Source organism: Homo sapiens, chromosome 21 (genome assembly GCF_000001405.40).
Source record: "Homo sapiens chromosome 21, GRCh38.p14 Primary Assembly".
Taxonomy (NCBI): domain Eukaryota; kingdom Metazoa; phylum Chordata; class Mammalia; order Primates; family Hominidae; genus Homo; species Homo sapiens.
The window spans coordinates 10,324,328-10,345,393 of record NC_000021.9 but is presented as its reverse complement, the minus strand read 5'-3'; the positions used below and the strand labels follow the sequence as shown (position 1 = coordinate 10,345,393).

The following is a 21,066-nucleotide window of genomic DNA, read 5'->3' as shown; positions in this document are numbered from 1 at the left end:
AGGGGGACTTCTACACACACAACTTCCCCCTTGCCTCGTCCAGCCAGAAAGCAGAGAGCAGTGGCATCTGCCCAGCACAGAGGCAGATGGATGGATCCACTCACCCGAGGATAGAGCAGGGAAGACGGGACAGGAGAAATCCAAGAGGGCTTCTCAGGGGAGGAGGCATGTAGTTTGGCTTAGATACAGAGGCTAGACAGGGGCCTGAGCAGATGAGTAGGGGACTGGGCATTTGAAGCCAAGGGTCTTGCACCTCCCTACCCCTTTCTTTGCACCCTCATACTCGAGCATTTATTAGCAACTTGTGCTAACCACTGAGCTAAGCTGACCTCCAAGTAATTAGAAAGCTTAAGTAAACCAACATCTGTAGATGAGAAAGGTGACTGAGGACCTACTGTTACAAAGGCAAGGTAATTTGAGGCTGCAATGAGCTACGAGCAACTGTGTTCCAGCCTGGGAGACAGAATGTAAAAAAATAGTAATAACAGAAAGTATACATCAATCTCAATTTTTTTTAAAAAGGCAGATGGTTTTACAGTTGTTTTATCAAAACTCAAAGAACAGGAAAGCCCAAATTATTTCAACAAAGTCAGACCTTTTAAACAGATGATAGCTGCCCAAGTCATTTTTATGAAACTTCTTTATATCAAAACCTAAGTCTAAAAAGAGAAAAGTGTTGACCTTGATACGGGCTGTGTTAGGCAGAGATTTCAATGAAGTCCTCTCTGAAGAGGTGACATTTGATCTGAGACCTGAAGCACCAGAAAGAGGCAGCCAAGCCAGGAAGAGGCAGGAATGGGAAGGTCTAGGGAAAGACTGGTCCTGGCAGGCGGAACTGCAGTGGCAAAGGCCCAGCGGTGATCAGGAGCTTGGCATTTGCAAAAATAAAGAGTGTGTGTGACTGGACAGCGTGAGCAAGTGGGCAGAGGAGGAGATCGTGATAGGGTGTGCATTGGTCAGGCCACCTAGGTCCTGGAGCCCACAGTGAGAAGCATGGGCTTGACTCTGAGGGCAAAGGAGAGCCACGGATAGTTTGGGTAAAGGGGAAAGTTGGCATTTAATTTTATAGCTTTTTGAAGTTTGTTTTGTTTTCTTAGAAACAAGGTCTCAGTCTGTTACCCAAACTGGAGTGCAGCTCAAAATATTTTCCAATTTATCTTGTGATTTTTTTTGATCCAATGATTTAGAGGTGGGTTGTTAAATTTTCACATATTTTCAGATGTCCAATATTTCTTACTGTTGTTAGTTTCTAATTCTGTTTCAGTCAGATAACTTATTTGTTTTCCCTGTCTCTCCTGTCTTCTGATCCTGTTTTTCCATTGACTACCATTTTTAAAATCAACTTATTTCAGTGTGTCATTTACAATCCTATTTTAATTTTTTGCTCTTTCTCTGAAGTGGTTGTTCCAGGGATTATAATGTGCTTTTCCATTTTTCCAACGAATGAAGAACGAAGTGATCGACTTCTTGCCTCTGCCGGGGCTCTGAAGCGCTGCCCCGAGGCGGTGGATGGAGGGTGTCAGGCGTGACATCAAGAGCTCTGCAGCCAGGGCCTGGGACAACCTCCCGCTCCACCTCCCCGGAGCCTCGCAGCCAGCATCCCCAGCGGCCCGTGCGCCCCGGCCAAGCGGGACCTCAGCGCTGTGGCGGCCGCAGACCTCACCTGGGCAGGCCCCGGGCTGCATGCGGACCGCCGGGCGCCCAGGACTCTAGAGGCAACCAGCGGGCTGGATCCGCACAGCGGCCCTGGGAAATGGATGGTGTACAGGGGACAAAGCTACACACGTCTTTCATTTTGGAGGGGGGAAAAAAGAAAAAACGGAAATGAAAGATAGAAAATGTGTGGGCTCTCCGTCCTTTCCTTTGCTCCTGAGCGCTCTCTGGGGTGGGGGGCTCAGCGAGCTTCAAGAGGTGGCCGAGATTCCCCCACCTCGCCCCCAGATCCCCGGGAGAGGTCAGCACGGCCCCTCCCTTGGGTGTCACAGAGACCGATGCGGGTCCCGCTCCCCGGGAAGGAGTGGGTCTGGGTCCAGTCCGCAGGATCCCCTCGCGGATGCTGACGCTGAATGGAGTTGAGGTGGGGGCAGCGCTGGACCCCAGGGTCCCTGCCTGCCTCCTGGGGAGCCCGGTGACCCAGGCAGCCCTGGTGAGGCCGCAGGAGTCTGGGCCCTAGCGACGCACCCGGGCTCCCACAGGACGAATGTAGACGGTGAGGCCAAGGACGCCCTGCTGCCCTCGGGACTGTCCCTCCAGCCCCCAGCTTTCCGTGGCTATTGGGCCCCCTCTGCAGAGGGGCAGGGGAGCCCACCCTGGATCCTGAGGCGCCGAGCTTGAGGGACCCCAGAGCTCCAGCCAGGCCGCTTTCTTTGAGGATGGTGAAGCTGAGGTCCCGAGGAGGGCAGGGGCAGGTCCCGGGCGCTCCTCAGGCAAAGGGAGCCGATTTAGGGGCTGGGGTCACAGGAGGGGCTTCTGCGACCTCTAGGGCCCTAGAGCCCGGGAGGATGAGAGACTGGGGGCCTTTCGTCCACCCCTGGGGCTGGGCAGACGCTCAGCCTGTGCAACCCGAAGCTGCTTCTGCCCAGTCCCAGCCGCGGCCCCTTTAAGAGGGGGTGGTGCTTCAGCCTGGCGCCAGGGACGCTGCCAGCATGCAGGCCCCGACGGAAGCCGAGACTGCGCTTCGTGCGAGGCCCGGGCAGCATCGGCGGCGTGGTCAGAGCGAGTCTCGGAGAAGATGTGGTGGCTTCCGTTTGTTGGTGGAGGAGGTGGCAGGCCTCGGCGGTAAGTGGAGGGGGATGAACCCCACCTGGAACCCTCTGGGTCTCCCTACTCCTTCCCGGCCGCTCCCTGCTTTCGGGCCCTCACTTCTAAGTGGGCATCTGGGCCCGAGTCGTCAGCGTTGGGGCGGTTGTGGGATCCGGGCCTCGGCAGCGTCCACACCCCCGCCGGGAAGGCTATGCCCCTGTCCGACCCACGTCCAGCCTATAGGAGCGCCCTGGCCCAGAGCCGGCGGTGAAGCGCTGGACTGGGTCCCTCCGAGCCCCACGGGCCTCTGAGCTGGGGTCTAGGGTTATTTTTTATGCCTCAGGACCTTTAGAAAGAGACCTCGCTAGAGCAGGGGACATCTGTAGTTTCAATTCTTTGAGGAGTTTCCAGCTATTTAACTGTTTTCCATGGTGTGTACCCTAATTTTCATTTCCACCTACAGTGTATGAGTTCCCCTTTCTCCAAAACCAAACCCCCATTCCAATTTGTTTTTGTTTTTGTTATTTTGAGACGGAGTCTCGCTCTGTCTCCAAGGCTGGAGCGCAGTGGCGCCATCTCGGCTCACTGCAACCTCTACCTCCCGGTTTCAAGCAATTCTCCTGTGTAGCTGGGACTACAGGCGCCCGCCACCACGCCCGGGTAATTTTTGTATTTTTATTTTTAGTAGAGACGGGGTTTCACGATATTTGTCAGGCTGGTCTGAAACTCGTGACCTCAGGTGATCCACCCGCCTTGGCTTCCCAAAGTGCTGGGATTACAGACGTGAGCCACGGCTCCCAGACCCTCCTATTTTTAAAAAAATTTTCTAGGAATATTCAATAAGTGTGAGACTATCTGCGTGTGGTTTTGAATTACAGTATTCTAATGAATAGTTAATTTTGAGGACCTTATCTCTTATCTGTTGTTCGATTTTATATCTGTGCAGAATTGTCTCTTCAGGTTATTTGCGAAATATTAGATTGGATTCTTTTTCTACTTTGTACTCTTTTTTGTGTACACGTTAGTTGACAACTCCTCGTGAATTACATGATTGCCTGAAATTTTTGCATAATCTATGGGATGCTTTTTTATTTGGAAAGTAGTTTTCTTTGCTATGCAGAAACTTTTCACGTTGATGTAGTCCCATATTTTTTTTTTTTTGCGTTTTATGCGTGTCATAATGGTCACCCATATTAGAAAATATGCATCAGTAACAAAGCATTTAATTGTCAGTGAGGTTTTTCTTCCAGGGTGTTTGTTTCTTTTCCTCTTTGCAAAGGTTAACAGAGATTCAAGTGACCCAAAATATATGCTCAACCTGTGTTTTACTTAAGTAAACACAGTAATTTTTTAAAAAACATTTTGTGGTTTATGGTATTTTGTTTTGGCCTTCAGTTGATGGGGGGGGCGGTTGATTTTCATACATCGTGTAAAATAAGGGTCCTGTTTCTCGCTTTTGCATCCGGATATCATTTTTCTCAAAGCTATTCATTGATCAGACTCTGCCTTCCACGTTGTGGTGTTCTTTATCAAAGTCAGTTGACTGTGTCCATATTTGTGTTGTTTTTGTCCTCCCTGTTTTTGTCCATAGTTCTAGGTATTTCTTTTTATGCAAGTACCATATATCTACTGCATAACTACAACTTGGCAATTTAATTTGATATCAAGGATTATGGGTTCTCACTTTGATTGTATTTCTCAAGATTCCTTTAGATATTCATTGCTTTTGTGGTTCCCTGTGATTTTTAGCACTATGTATTTATTTCTGTTAATTTTTTTACAACATAAAGGGCCATAATTAGGGGTACATTTTTATACATATATATTGGGTAATGATCAAATCAGGGTACTTAGGATCTCTATTCCCTCATACAGGTATTATTTTTGTGTAAAGAGAACATTCAAAATTCTCCTTGCTCTTTAGAAAAATGTAATACGGTTAAGTCCAGTCACCAGGCTGAGGAGAACACTCAGATTTATTCTTTTAATGTTAAGATAACTTTGTTTCCATAACCAATCCTTCTCCATTCCCCTTCTGTCTCCCGGACTCTGGTAACCAATATTGTGCTTTCTACTTCTTTAAGATAAACATCTTAAGATTTCACATGAGTGGTATCATGCAGTGTTTGTCTTTCTAGGCCTAGCTCATCACATTTAACATAATGTTTTCCAGGTTCATCTGGGTTGCTCTAAATGACACTGTTTGATTATTCTGATAGCCGAAGAATATTCCCCAGTGTATGTATATGAGAGTTTCTTGATCTCTTTATCTGTGGGTGAACAGGTAGGTTGAATGTATAGCCAGTAGTGGGACTGCTAGATGGTATGGTATTTCCTTTTTTTTTTTCTATTGTTTGCAGGACCCCCAACTGTTTTTTATAGTGTTAATACCAATTTACATTTCCACAAACAGTCCCCCTTTCTGGAAATTCATACTAGGAATTTTCTTTTTAAATATTTTAATCTTTTTGTGATGTTCATTCTAGTTGGAGTGAGATAAGATCTGAGAGTGGTTTTGATCTACATTTTTCTCATGAGTAGTAATGTTAACCACGTTTTTATAAATGTTGAATCTGTTTTCTGTCTTCTTTGCACAAATATCTACTCAGGTTATTTGCCCAATTTTGGTCTGGTTATTTCTCTGTTGTTTTGTTTTTTTGCCAGCTGTTAGTGTTACTGGCTTGTGCCTTTTCAAAAGTAACCTGTTATCCACTGTATGTTTGCCCAAACTTTTCTTATAAGTTTTAGTATGCCTTTTCATTTTGTTCGTTCTTTCCTTTTTTGGGCACAAATTCTTCAGTTTGATGAGGTACCACATGTGTATAATTTCTTGGTTAGTGTGCTATTGTTTACTAATCAAGAAAAAACAAAATCAGTGCCAAAGCAGTCCATTGTCAGTGATTTTTCCCTTGTATTTTTGTTACTTTTTGCAAACTGTGAGCATACATCCAAGTTTCCCTAAATATACACACACTCGAGGTTGTGTTTATAAGAGCTTTATGGTTGCAAGTTTTGTGAATTATTTCTGTATTATTTAGTACCACACTTTTTGTATTATTTAGTACACTAAATATATTTTGTATTATTTAGTATAAATACAAAATAATACAAAATAAAAATATTTTTTATTATTTAGTACACACTATTTGTATTATTTAGTACCACACTTTTTGCAAACCGTGAGCATACATCCAAGCTTCCCTAAATATACACACACTCGAGGTTGTGTTTATAAGAGCTTTATGGTTGCAAGTTTTGTGAATAATCTTTAATCCTTTTGAGTTAAAGTGTTTTTTTTGGTACCACAAGAGTCCTGTATTATTTAGTACCACAAGAGTCCTGTATTATTCTTTTGCATATGGATATCTAGTTTTGGAAACCTTCCCCATTGTGTTGTTTTGGTGGTGTTTTGAAAAATGTGTTCACTCTGTGTAAATTTGTGTTTATTATTGAGCGCTCTCATTTTGCTCACTGGTCTGTGTTTCTCTGTGTATGCCAGTAACATATGGATTGGTTAACTAGGGATTTTCGTTTAATTCGAACTCAGGGAATGTGATGCAGCCCATATGGTTTGTATTTCTCAGGATTGCTTTAGAAATTCAGGGTGTTTCGTATTTCCACATAAATTTTGGCATTGTTTCTTTGTATTTCTTAAAACACTATTTGCCATACACTAAGTGTATATAAGTAGAGGGTACAAGGAAGATTTCGATACATGTATATGTTGAGTAATGAAAAAATCAAGTTATTTAGCATCTCTTCACCTCATAGTTACTACTTTTTGAGTGGTAACAACATTCAGAATCTTTCCTTCTAGCTACTTTGAAATATATGATACATTTGTATTAAGGCTAGTCACCCTGCTGTAGAATAGAAGACCAGAATTGATTACTGTCATCTAAGAGTAACTTTGTACCCATTACTGATTCCTTCCCCGACCCTCTCCACCTCCCCAGCAGCCTCTGGTAATCCCTATTGAACTTTCTACTTCTAGGAGATAAAGCTTTTTTCAGTCTACATGTCTGAGATCACGTGGCATGGGACTTTCTCTGCCAGGCTCATTTGTTGGACCTGATGTTCTCCAGGTTTCTTCATGTGGCTGCAGATGGCAGGATTTCCCAAAGCTTTATGGCTGAAACATATTCCGTGGTGTATCTGTATGGCAGTTTCTTCATCCCTGAAGCTGTGTACGGACAGGTAGGTTGGTTTTGTACCTTGGCCACAGTTAGGGGTGCTTTAGTACCCATGGGAAGGCAGGTAACTCTCTTCAACCTAGGGATTTCAAGTGCTTTAATTGTGGAACCAGTGATGGGGCTTCTAGCTGACATGGTAGTTGTACTGTGAATTTTTTCAGGAACCTCTAGCTGTTTTTCATAGTGTGTATACTAATTTACATCCCCACCAATAGCATTTAAGAGGTTTCTCTTCTGTAAGTCTACACTGGCTGTCACCTTTAAAAATTTGTGTTTTGTTTGTCTTTGGTAGTATTCATTCTGAGTGGAATGAGATGGACTCTTAGTGTGGTTTTTGTGGACATTTTTGTGAGGATTGGTGATGTCGAGAAAGTTATTTGAGAAATCCCCACATCGTTTTCCATGGTGTCTGAACTAGTTTGCATTTCTACCAACAGCAGACCAGCATCCTCTCCTCCTCTGCCTCGCTGGCATTCATTCTTGTGGACTGTGTCATAATTGTCATTCCGACCAGTGTGAAATACTATCTCATGGGCCTTTTGCTTTGCATTTCTCTGATGATTACTGAGGTAGAGAAATGTCCTGTCCGTTGGTTGCTATAAACCTTCCTTTGAGATGTGTGTTTTCATGCCCTTTGCCCTTTCTTCACTGAGTTTTTGTTTTGCTGATTTATTTGCTTAACATTTTTGAGGTAGATCCTGGAAATCAGACTTCATGAGATGCATATGTGGGGACATTTTCTCCCATTGTGTAGGCTTTCTGTTTACTCTGTTGGTAATTTCTTCTGCTGTTCAGCAGCTCTTTTATATATTAGGTCCCACTTGTCAATAATTGTTTTAGTTGCACTTGCTTTTGGGGACTTAGGCATATCCATGCTGTGCCAAATCCTCTGTCAGGAAGTGTATTTCCTAGGTTCCCTTGCAGGCTTTTAATAGTTTGAGGTCTTGCATTTACAGCTTTCATTCATCTTGCGTTAATTTCTGTACATGGTGAGACACAGGGGCCCACTGTTTTTCTTCTGCAACTGGCTAGCCGTTTTATCCCAGCACCATCTATTGAGAGGAGGGAGTTCTTTCTCCAAAGCTTGTTTGTGTGGTTTTTGTTGAAGATGAAGAAATAGTGTCAACCTGGTGTTTGATGTCCAATGTTCACCAGGCTCCAGGTGGACACCTCTAGAAGTAGATCTTTACAGATGAGAACCTGGAACTGGTTTGCTGACCCGTTTTAGTCGGAATGAATTCCTGACCTTCTTGTCAGGAGGAGACAGAAACCTGATCATCTGTAGTGTACGGTGGTATCGTGATTACTTAAATCATCAAATGTGGTTATTGGGAATGATGTGTTTTTTCAAGTGGTATATGAGAGGTAAAATTGCTATTGTAGTTGACTGTTGCAGTTATAATTTTGTCAACATGGTCTGTAAGAGTGCAATGGAGTCGGCCCGGCGTGGTGGCTCACGCCTGTAATCCCAGTACTTTGGGAGGCCAAGGCGGGCCGATCATGAGGTCAGGAGATCGAGACCATCCTGGCTAACACAGTGAGACCCCGTCTCTACTAAAAATACAAAAAATTAGCCGCGCGTGGCGGCACACGCCTGTAATCCCAGCTACTTGGGAGGCTGAGGCAGGAGAATGGCGTGAACCTAGGAGGCAGAGCTTGCAGTGAGCCGAGACTGCACCACTGCACTCCAGCCTGGGCGACAGAGCAAGACTCCATCTCAAAAAAAAAAAAAAAAGAGTGCAATGGAAAGCTGGTAGAAAATGGACATTGTTTAAAGACCAAAACAACCACACTACTTTGCTAATCCCTATCAGCTAAAGCCTAGAGAATATATGAGGCATAGATTTACATGGTGTTTGACTAAGGCATGCAGAATATAATCTTGACATAGGCTAAGTTTATCAACATGGATACATAGAGATTCTGAAGTTAAAGTCTTAGCCCAAGAAGTTAGAAGGGGTGCTCAAGTTTGTCTGACAGAAACTGTGAATCCACACTGGCCTGCTTATTTTGAGGTTGTGTTGCCAGAGCTTTCCTAGCATAATAAAGAGAGGTGCATACAAAGGAATAGGAATAGTAGGAGGTGGGGGTAAAAATATCAGGTGTGATCCACATGCCAAGCCGACCCCCACTGTGTCCCACAGGAAGCCCCAGAAGATGTTTCTCTAAGAAATTAAGGATTCGTTTGTTGGGGAGGGCTGCTGGCATGTTTGAAAAGTACTGTGACGGCTGAATTTTGTGGGCTTGGGGAGATTGTGGGTTCTCTGATTTCAAGGGGAATGATGTGATCCTAGAACAAGTGACAGTGGAGGCGCTTATGCTTTGTGATTGCACTAGAGACAAGGAAGACACAACTAGAATAATGGGGAGCAGGAATGGAGCGGCCAACAGAATATCTGACTGCTAGGGATCTTTGATGAAGGCTGATTCTTAGGGAGTGAACTAGATCAGTGACCAACTATTTGTCTTTATATAACTGGGTAATGTGGATGGATTCTAATAAAGGGACTACTTACAGCACAGCAGGAAAGACACAAAGAAACCAGACAGAAGAGTGTAAGTAGTAAGGGGCCAAGCAGTCACCTGACTAGAGAGAGTGCCAGCTTGCCAAGAAGGCACCAGACAGAAGCTGTGATCTTCAGCAAAGGGACACAGTCTGCCTGTGCTGACCCTGCAGGGGCAGAGGTGGGGGATAAACACACTCTTCTCTCACCTATCTTCTGCCACCCCCTCCATTAGCTGAACCCCAATAAAAGCATGAGGGTAAGGGAGATCTCTGCAGTATCCAATTCAGGTGAGCCTCCTAAGGAACAAAGCAGAACGTAGAAAAATTAAGAATGGGTCTAGGGAATAAAATAGAGATATGCACCGGAGTATGATGATGTGTCTGGGAAAGAATATACAAATACTTTTAAAATTACTAGACAATAAACCTGAGATGACACTAATACAGGTAAATCTCATTTAATGGTAATATATTCCAAGAAATGCATCATTACGTGATTTTGTGGCTGTGCAGACACCATAGAATGTAGTTTATACAAACCTAGACAGTGTAGCCTACAACATACCTAGGCTATATCGTACAGCCTATTGCTCCTGGGCTACACACCTGTGCAGCACGTCACTGTGCTGAATACAGTAGGCCAGTAGTCCCCAACACCCAAGCCATGGACCAGCACCGGTTCGTGTCCTGTTAGGAACTGGGCACAAAGCAGGAGATGAGTGGCTGGCCAGCTGAGCATTACTTCCTGAGCTCCACCTCCTGTCAGATCAGCAGCAGCATTAGACCTTCACAGGAGCGCAAACCCTATTGTGAACTGCACATACAAGGGATCTAGGTTGTGTGCTCCTTATAAGAATCTAACTAGGCTGGGTGCTGTGGCTCATGCCTGTAATCCCAACACTCTGGGAGGCCGAGGCAGGTGGATCACAAGGTCAAGACACTGCTGGCCAACATGGAAACCCCGTCTCTACTAAGAATACAAAAATTAGCTGGGTGTGGTGGCGCATGCCTGTAGTCCCAGCTACTCGGGGGGCTGAGGCAGGAGAATCACTTGAACCCAGGAGGCAGAGGTTGCAGTGAGCCGAGATTGTGCCACTGCACTCCAGCCTGGCGACAGTGGGAGACTCAGTCTAAAAAAAAAAAAAAAGAAAAAATAGAATCTAATGCCTGATGATCTGATGATCTGAAGTGGAACAGTTTCAGCCCAAAGCCATCCCCACTCCGCGGAAAAATTATCTTTCACAAAACCAGTCCTTGGTGTCAAAACTTTGGGGACCACTGCTGTAGGCAGTTATATCACAATAGTAATATCTAAACATGGAAAAGATACAGTAAAAACATAGTACATTGGGAGACCGAGGCAGGCGGATCACCTGAGGTCAGAAGTTCGAGACCAGCCTGACCAACATGGAGAAACTCCATCTGTACTAAAAATACAAAATTAGCTGGGTGTGCTGGCATGGGCCTGTAATCCCAGCTACTCATTAGGCTGAGGCAGGAGAATCACTTGAACCCCAGAGGCAGAGGTTGCAGTGAGCCAAGATCGTGCCATTGCACTCCAGCCTGGGCAACAAAATAAAACTCCTTCTCAAAAAAAAAGAAAGAAAAAAAAATATATATATATATATTACAAAAGTTAAAGAGAGTGGTACACCAGTATAGGACACCTAGCATGAACAGAGGTTGCAGGACTGGCAGTTGCTCTGATGAGTCAGTGAGTACTTGGTGAGTGAATGCAAAGGCCTAGGATATTACTGTACATAACTATAGACTTTATATGCACTGTACACTTAGGCTACACTAAATGTATTTGAAATTTTTCTTTCTTTAACAAGTTCATCTTAGCTTATCGTAACTTCATAAACTTTTAATTTTTTTAACTTTTTGATTCTTATAATAACACATCTTAAAACAAAAACACATTGAACAGCTGTACAGAAATACTTTATATCCTTATTCGATAAGCTTTATTTATTTTTATTTTTTATGTTTTAAACTTTTTTGTTAAAAACTAAGATACAAACACACACACTAGCTTAGCCCTGTAAGGGTCAGGATAATCAATATCACTGTCTTCCATCTCCAAATCTTGTCCCAGTGAAAGGTCTTCAGGGTCTTCAAGGGCAATAACATATATGCAGCTGTCATCTTCTATGATAACAAGGCTTTCTTCTGGAAGAACTCCTGAAAGACCTTCCCGACGCTGTTTTATAGTTAATTATTTTTCATGAGTAGAAGTACTACACTCTAAAATATGAATAAAATGTATAGTATTGTAAATACTGTTGATCCTTGAACAGTGCAAGGGTTAGGGGACCAGCTCCTGTGCAGTTGAAAATCCATATATAACTCTGGGCTATCCCCAAACTTAACTACTAATAGCCTATTCTTAACTGCAAGCTTTGCTGATCAAATAAACAATTAATGCATAATTTGTTAATTATATACTGTATTCTTAAAGAAAGAGAAAAGAAAATTCTATTAAGAAAATCATAAGGAGGAGAAAATATGTTTACTATTCATTAAGTGAAAGTGGATCATCATAAAGGTCTTCGTCTGCATATTCATGTTGAGCAGCCTGAGGAAGAGAAGAGGAGAAGTTGATCCTGTTGTCTCAGGGGTGGGAGAAACAGAAGGAAATTTGCATATAAGTGAACTTGTGCATTTCAAATCCATGCTGTTCAAGGAGCAACTGTACATAAACTAGTCACATGGTCATTTATTATCATTAACAAGTATGACATATGGTACATAATTAGATGTGCTAACCTTTAATGCCACTGACAAATGTAGTGGGTTTGCTTATACCAGCCTCACTGCAAACACATGAGTAATGCGTTGTGCTATGATGTCATCATGGCCACAGTGTTACTAGATGGTAAGAATTTTTCAGCTCTGTTATCTTAAGCGACCACCATTGTATGCAGTGTAGCATTTACCAAAAAACCATTATGCCACACAGGACCATATTTGGGGCTTTTAGTGTCCCCTGTCCCCAAGATCCTTCTATTCAAAATGTGAGCTCATGCATGGTTTAAAATTTGTGATGGTGTGCAGTGGACACATGGTGGATTGACATATTTTTTTCTTTACTTTTGAATAGTTGGATTTTTTTTTTCAAGACAGAGTCTCACTCTGTCACCCAGGCTGGAGTGCAGTGGCGCGATCTCAGCTCACTGCAAGCTCGCAAGCTCTACCTTCTGGGTTCACGCCATTCTCCTGCCTCAGCCTCCTGAGTAGCTGGGACTACAGGTGCCCACCACCAGGCCCAGCTAATTTTTTTGTATTTTTAGGCGAGACTGGATTTCACTGTATTAGCCACGATGTTCTTGATCTCCTGACCTCCTGATCCGCCCACCTTGGCCTTCCAAAGTGCTGGGATTACAGGTGTGAGCCACCAAGCCCAGCCGAAGATGACTTCTTAAAATAGACACGAAGTATGAAAATACTTGTAGCCCAAGTAAATTCTTATTAGAGGGAATCCACTGAAGAGGAGTAATCGTATGCATACAATGACATGTTATATAATAGATGTTAGTCAGCTGATACTTGTTCAATGGGCTCATGAACAGATGCACATAATATTAAGGATAGAAGGTATTCACGACTTTACATAATCAAATTGTATCTGGACCAATGTAGAACAACTAAGGCTAATATGACAGCCTTCCCTCAGGGGCTACCCAGTCAACTTGCAGATTGATGACATTGAAACCCATCCCTCAGGGATTTTGTTCTCACTGAAATAGACACTTATTCTGGGTACGAACTCACCTTTTACATTTGCAATTTTTCTGCTGGTACTACCATGAGTGAACTTAAATAATTTGTTATTCACCATCATGATATCCCATACAACATTGTTTTTGACTAAGGAATTCATTTCACTGCAAAAAAAATATGGTATTAGGCTCATGTTTGTGCAATTCATTGGATTTACAACATAATCCCTATCACCTAGAAGAATCTGACATGATGGAATGGAATCATGTAACTCAGTTAATGCTCCCAGCTGGTAAACAACACATAGTGAGGTTGGGATGTTGTCCTACAGTGTGTGGTATAAACTTAGAGTCAGTGACCACCGTGTAGTGTTATTTATCTTACAACAAAAACACATGAATCTGAAAGTCAAGGGGAGGGGGCTCCCTGCACTATTATGCCTAATTTGCACTTGCAGACTTTTTCTTCCCTTTTGTGAAACTTTGGGTTCTCCTCATTTAGAGATAATGATTCCCCAGGGAGGAAACTAACTTCTTTTTTTTTTTAATTTACAAAAGGTAGGCTATGATTATTAGAGTCATACACAGTTGACTGTCTCAGTGTGACTCAAGACCACAAAAAAACCATTTTTCCTTCACTTCTGAGTCCTGGGGTTAAGACCTAGACCAGCAAGCGTACTGCTTGGGGTCCCTTCACAGGTTTACAAGTTTTTCATTGAGGGCAATCTGTGACTGTGTGAGGTTGGCCAGTTAGGTCACCATCAACAGGTCATTGATGTTGCTGTGGAGCATGGTCTCGAAGTCATCGGGAACTATTTTTGGTACTTGGTTAACCAGGCTCATCAGGAAGTGGCCCACCTTCCTGATGGTATTGTCAGCTGACACCTTTCCAGATAGTATATCCTCTGCATATTGCAACACTATGCTCAGGGTATCCTGGATGCGAGCTGATGCCCCTCCTACTTGCTGCAAGTCACTTGAGAGTCCAACCACTCTGTTGGGGCTAAAGCAGGTCTTCATGATCAGGTCAACTCTGATGCATTCAGTGTCATAGAATGCGTATTTCACTGTCAGAGGTGTGAACACTCCCACGATCCTCCCAGGGACACCCATTAAAGTGCTGACATAGGCTTTGATGCTCATATGGCCGTTCTGGAGACTTGTGTCCACAGTGAGGTGGATGGGGTTGGGGGCCTCTCGGCTGTAGTACTCATGGATCAGCACAGAGTGCTCTGTGATGTCATGGCCTGCAGCGTACCACCCCAAGATGAGCTCATTTGGAGAAACTTTTTAGGCAGTTCATACATGTTCTTAGCAAATTCCATGTCAACAGCCACTTCATCTGACTCATTGTGTGACACTGAAAAGCAACTGGTGACCTCCACTGAGTGTTTGTTGACAGTTCCCAACAGGGTCCCGATAACTCGGGCAGCACCCTTGTTGCGTCTCTCGTAGCTGTCCACAGTGGAGGCCAAAATGACTGGGTGCAGCCTGACCACACGGCCACCAGGGAAGGGCCCTGGAAGAACAGGACCAGGCAGAGCGGTTGCTGGGGTCTGCGCTGGAGCTTGTGCTGAGGCCAGGGTCTGGCTTAAGATGACAGGTTTCATTAAGTGGAAGCTGAAATACCATTTGGGGATATTTAGTTCTTCTTGAAACTAACGGTAAAGAAAACAGCAGACCTATTAACAGGTAATTGATCTAGAGATAGCCAAGGTGAAATTGGGTTTCTCTATTCAGTAGGGGCAGGGAGGACTATGTGTGGAACACAGGAGTATCTCAGTCATTCCATGTGTGATAGTACATGAAAGAGATGAGCAGTTGTAGTGCTGTTCACTGTGCAAAAGTATCCCTTCTTCCTAACGTGGGAGGGCTGCTTTTGCAAATATGTCTGTGCTATTTCTCACTGGTCCTGCCTCTTCTGTTCTTGGAATCAAACTCAGTCCACGACAGATCCCACTACTAGCTGAATTTCTTTATTAGTCCTATCACAAATGAAATTTTGTATTAGCACCTCAGGGGATTTCTTTAATTTTGCAAAAGTATGTCATCCTAATTTATTATTTTTTTCCTAAGATCTGGCAATGAGCATCGGTTCTCTGCTTCCTATCTTACCCTGCTCACTCACAGCTGCTTCAGGTGACCTCCTTTTTAGGTTCAGAGTTATGGCTGACCTCGGCTTTAATCAAAACGAATGTATTTTGGTTTCTCATTTTGTTTATTGCTTCTGTCTTCAAATTAGAAATCCTAGAGCTCATCAGATTTACTTTTATGTTTATTTTTGAAAGAGCATCCTGCTCTGTCACCCAGGCTGCAATGCAGTGGTACAATGACTGCTCATTGCGGCCTTGACCTCCTGGGCTCAAGTGATTCTCCTGCCTCAGCCTCCCGAGTAGCTGGGATTACAGGCACCTGCCACCACACCTGGCTAATGTTTGTGTTTTTAGTAGAGACAGGGTTTCACCATGTTGGCCAGCTGGTCTCGAATTCCTGATCTCAGGTGATCTGCCCACCTTGACCTCCCAAAGTGCTGGAATTACAGGTGTGAGCCACCGTGCCCAGACGATTTTTATGACCATGAATGGGGACAGATTTCTTAAACAGATCACAATGAGCCATAGTTTTAAGGGAATAAGTTGATAAATTAGACTATATTCAAATTAAGAATTTCTGTTTATTAAGAGACACCACTAAGAAAGTGACAAGACAAGTTGCAGAGTGGAAACAGATCTATGAACACAGAACTGACAGAGGGCTCACATCAACAATATGTAAAGAGCTCTTAAAAATCACTAAGAGAAAGAACAATGGGTAAAACACTTAAACGTGTAATTTATAAAAGCAAAACTTGAATGTGTTCAGCTTTCTTAGTATTCATGTAAATGCAAATTAACATCACAACAGGATAACATATCCTCCAAAACGGCTAAAATGTAAAAGATAGAACACCAAGTGTTGGAGAGAATCTGGAGCAACAAGAACTCTCATCACTGCTGGAGGGGATACTGTGTTTGGCATTGAATAAAGGTTCTAGAAAGGAGCACATTTAGGACTCAGGTATTTCACTCTTAGGATAACAGAAACGCATGCACATCTGCATCAAAAGACATCTATGGAAATGTGTGTGGCATCATTCTCTGTCATTGGAAAAATATCTTGAAACAAAACCCAAATGTGACTTCTGTTTTCCAGCTTGGAAGCTGTCACTCCTGTCCTCACAACGACAACAAAAAACACCTTGAACAAACTGAAAATTACAACTTTTCTTAGATCCATCAGAGACTTGAGGTTAACAGGGAAAACCGTTATCCCCCAAATTGGAGAGGCAGTGAGTCCCAGCCTAACAGGATCGGAGGCTGGCCACTGGAGCCAGAACCACGGTGGGAAGACTTACATGTAAACAACAAATCGCTGGAGGCTCCATGCACATAAACTTGAGAATTAAGAATTAAGGGAGCCCAGTCTTAGGGGGCCCTACACTTTCATGAACCTCCAAGAGCTCTGCCAGACGCTCTTATGCACATCAGAGAAAAATTCCCTCCTGCTTCCCACAGGGAAGGGGAAAAGTAACTACTTTGAAATATGCCCTGGGTGTTCCGTTCTCCTTAGCAAAAGCCTGCCCCAGGGAAACCATTTCACAAGAGTCTAACCACCTTGGGCTTTAGCAGGGCCTAACACCTGTTAGAATAAGAATAAAAATTGCATCAAACTTTTCTTCAGAACCCATGCAAGCAAGCAAAAAAATTCCACCAAACTAAAATTCTGTATCCTGCAAAATTATCTTTCCAAAGTGAAGAAAAAGACTTTCTCAGAGAAACACAAATTTGCTGTCAGTAGATCTGTCAAAATGTTAAAAGAAGTTATCCAGAGAGAAGAAAATGATATAGGCTAAAAACTTGGATCTACATAAAGAAAAAAGGTTTTAGAGAAGGAAGAAAGGGGCTTCCTGCCTCCCTCCTCCATGGGGCACTGGTGCTATGCCCAGCACCCAGATGCCCCTACCCAATGCTGAATAAGAACACAGAGCACCATGAATGGCTGGCTCTAAAAGGAAAAGTGGAAGACTTGTGTTCTCAACCCACAGCTGCTACTGCTACATTTAAAGACACTGCAGTGAACATTGTAAGTTCTCTGGCTCATGGAGGGAGGAATCTATTCCAAAGACTCTGAGAAAAACTGTAAATTAAACAAAAATATGGTGAAAGCTGGTTCCTGAGCTTTATTGATGTTAATAATGCACCTTATTGGCCAGGCACAGTGGCTCATGACTGTGATCTCAGCACTTTGGGAGGCCAATGTGGGAGGATCACAAGGTCAGAAGATCGAGTCCAGCCAGGCCAACATGGTGAAACCCTGTCTCTACTAAAAATACAAAAATTAGCTGGGTGTGGTAGCACGTGCCTGTAATCCCAGTGACTCAGGAAGCTGAGGCAGGAGAATCGCTTGAACCCGGCAGGTGGAGGTTGCTGTGAGCTGAGATGGCACCACTCCACTACAGCCTCGTGACAAAGGAAGACTACCTCTCAAAAAACAAAAAACAAAAACAAAAAAACAAAAAACTGGTCACCTTTTCACCATATACAAAAATTAACTCAGGTTGGATTAAAGATTTAAATTTAAGACCTCAAACTAAAATAAACCTGGAAGAAAAACTTCAAAAGTACCATTCTGGATATGGGCTATGGGAAATAATTCATGACTAAGACTTCAAAAGAAATTGCAACAAAAGCAAAAGTTGACAAATGGGACCTAATTAAACTAAAGAGCTGCCACACAGCAAAGGAAACCATCAGCAGAGTAAACAACCTACAGAATGGGGGAAATTATTCACAAACTATGCATCCAACAAAGGTCTAATATTTAGAATCTATAAGGAACATAATTCAACAAGCAAAACACAACCCCATTTAAAAAGGGGCAAAAGACATAGACACTTCTCAGAAGGAGACATACATGCAGCCAACAAACATGAAAAAAATGCTCATCATCACTAATCACGAGGGAAATGCAAATCAAAACCACAATGAGATATTATCTCACACCAGTCAGAATGGCTATTTTTAAAAAGTAAAAAAAAAAAATAGCAGATACTGGCGAGGATAAGGAGAAAAGGGAATGCTTATACACCTTTGGTGGGAATGTAATTTAGTTCAGCCACTGTGGAAAGCAATTTGGAGATTTCTCAAAGAACATAAAACCGAACTAACATTCAACCCAGCAGTCTCATTACCGAATATGTATCCAAAAGAAAACAAATCATTCCACCAAAAAGACATATGCACTTGTATGTTTATTGCAACACTATTCACATTAGCAAAGACATGGGATCAACCTAGGTGCCCATCAACAGTGGACTATCAACAGTGGACTGGATAAAAATGTGGTACATATAGACCATGGAATACTATGCAGCCACAAAAAAGAATGAAATTATGTTCTTTGAGGGAAAATGGCTACAGCTGGAATCCAGGAAGTGAACTAATGTAGTAACAGAAAACAAACGCCTCATGTTCCTATAAGTAGGAGCTAAATTCTGAGTACCCATGGATATGAAGATGGTGAAAATAGACACTAGGGACTGCTAGGAGGGGGAGGGAGGAAGGAAAAGGTTGAAAAACTGCTGAATACCATGTTCAGTACCTGGGTGTTGGGATCATTCACACCCCAAACCTCAGCACCACACAATACACCCAGGTAATAAACCTGCACATGTAGACCCTGAATCTAACATAAAAGTTGAAAAAGAAAAAACAGAATGGAATCTCTGTTTATTCTCAACATATCAGTTGTGCCTTTCCTCAATTTGAAACTCTCACTATTGGCTATATTTGGGGGTGCCCTATTTCCCATCTCATAACTTATTTTAAGAAACACAGCATAATAATGTGTGGGTTTGGGATTCAGTTTTTGAAAAAAAACACTGAGCCTTCAATGAACTTCCGGTCCATGTAAAAGCACACCTGTCTGCATGGCAGCACTAGGACCTCACAATGTGGATTGTGCCTTCACCCAGGAATGTTTATGCCCTATCGCCATGGTGATGGGATTAGAAATCTCCTGCCCTTGGTCATAAGTGCCACTGTCTGGGCTGAGTTTTTCAAAGGTCAGAGCAGATTGAAATTTTGTGGGTTCATTTTCCCTGATTTTGATTTTTCTTAAGGGGAACCTGTGTTCCTCCAATCGAGGTATGTTCATACTGGCCTGTCAAATGCGATCTTTTCAAATTATTAGTTAATACTTTCAAAATTTGTTATTTAAAAAATTATCCTCTGTATTTTCCATATGCAGTTATAAATATGTTTCATGGTTATGTTTTATTCCTCAATATACATATTTGATTATTTTACCAAGCAGAGTACCTTTGAAATTTTTCTTCATTTAAAAAATATGGATCTTGGCTCAGGCCTGTAATCCCAGCAATTTCGGAGGCCAAAGCAAGAGGATCACAAGGTGAGGAGATCAAGACCATCCTGGCCAATACAGTGAAGCCCTGTCTCTACTAAAACTACAAAAAATTAGCCAGGCGTGGTGGCAGCTGGTGCAGTCCCAGTGTGGTGTAGTCCCAGCTACCTGGGAGGCTGAGGCAGGACAATCGCTGGAACCCGTGAGGTAAAGTTTGCAGTGAGCCAACATGGCGCCATTGCACTCCAGCCTGTGAAACAGAACAAAACTCTGTCTAAAAAAAAATTATATATATATAATAAATGACATATGTAATATATAATATATATCATATATAATATGTCCTAATATATGATATATATAATATATATGCTATGTCATTTACATATATTATATATAATATATATGACATAGAATATATATTATATGAAATATATAATTTATTGTATATAAAATGTTATATATATTATATATTATATATTATATATTATATATATGATAATATATAATATATATTACATATATGTCATTATATATATGATATATAATATGTGATATATAATATATATAATATATTTCATATGTAATATATTATATATGATATATATTATATATGATATAAATTACATATATGATATATATTATATATTGTGTATGATATATGATATGTAATATATATGACATATATAAAATATATATATTACATATATATTATAAGATATGTAATATATTATATTGTATTATATATCATAATATATATTATAATTATTATTTAATTTAATATTATTATATATTATATAATATTATATTCTATATAATATATATATTATATGTTTAATATAATATATAATAATATAATGTACTTATATTATGATATATTATATATCATATATATTATATACTATATATTATATATAATATAAACTATATGTTATATATAATATATAGTATATATTATATACTATATATTATATATATTATATATTATATATAATATAAACTATATGTATTATATATTATATAATATATAATGTATATAGTATATATTATATATTATTATATAATTATATATAATTGTATAAATATAATTATATATAATTATATAAATATAATTATATATAATTATACAATATATATAATTATATATTTTATATTATATTATATATAATATATATAATATCAGGATGCAGGATGTAAAAGGAAATATCTATAATATATATATTATATATATTTTATATTATATTATCTATAATTAAATATATATATATAAATATTTGGGGGTGTCCTATTTCGAATCTAATAACTTATTTTAAGAAGCACAGCATAATAATATGTGGGCTTGGGATTCAGTTTTTGAAACAGAACAATGAGCCTTCAATGACCTTCCTGTACATGTAAAAGCACAACTGTCTGCATGGCAGCAGTTGGACCTCACAATGTGGATTGTGCCTTCACCGTGGAATGTTTATACCCTATCGCCATGGTGATGGGATTAGGGATC

At 41.4% G+C, this 21,066-nt stretch overlaps 1 pseudogene, besides 1 other annotated feature; it reads right to left on the bottom strand.

The window, feature by feature from the left end:
- EIF3FP1 (eukaryotic translation initiation factor 3 subunit F pseudogene 1) lies at positions 13,708-14,754 on the bottom strand (annotated as a pseudogene).
- Positions 19,358-19,859: an enhancer, noted in NCBI's record as "NANOG hESC enhancer chr21:11186421-11186922 (GRCh37/hg19 assembly coordinates)". NCBI's record gives its function as "activates a minimal SCP1, AML or CMV promoter by ChIP-STARR-seq in primed H9 embryonic stem cells {active_cell/tissue: H9 hESC(primed)}" and the evidence as "EXISTENCE:reporter gene assay evidence [ECO:0000049][PMID:30033119]".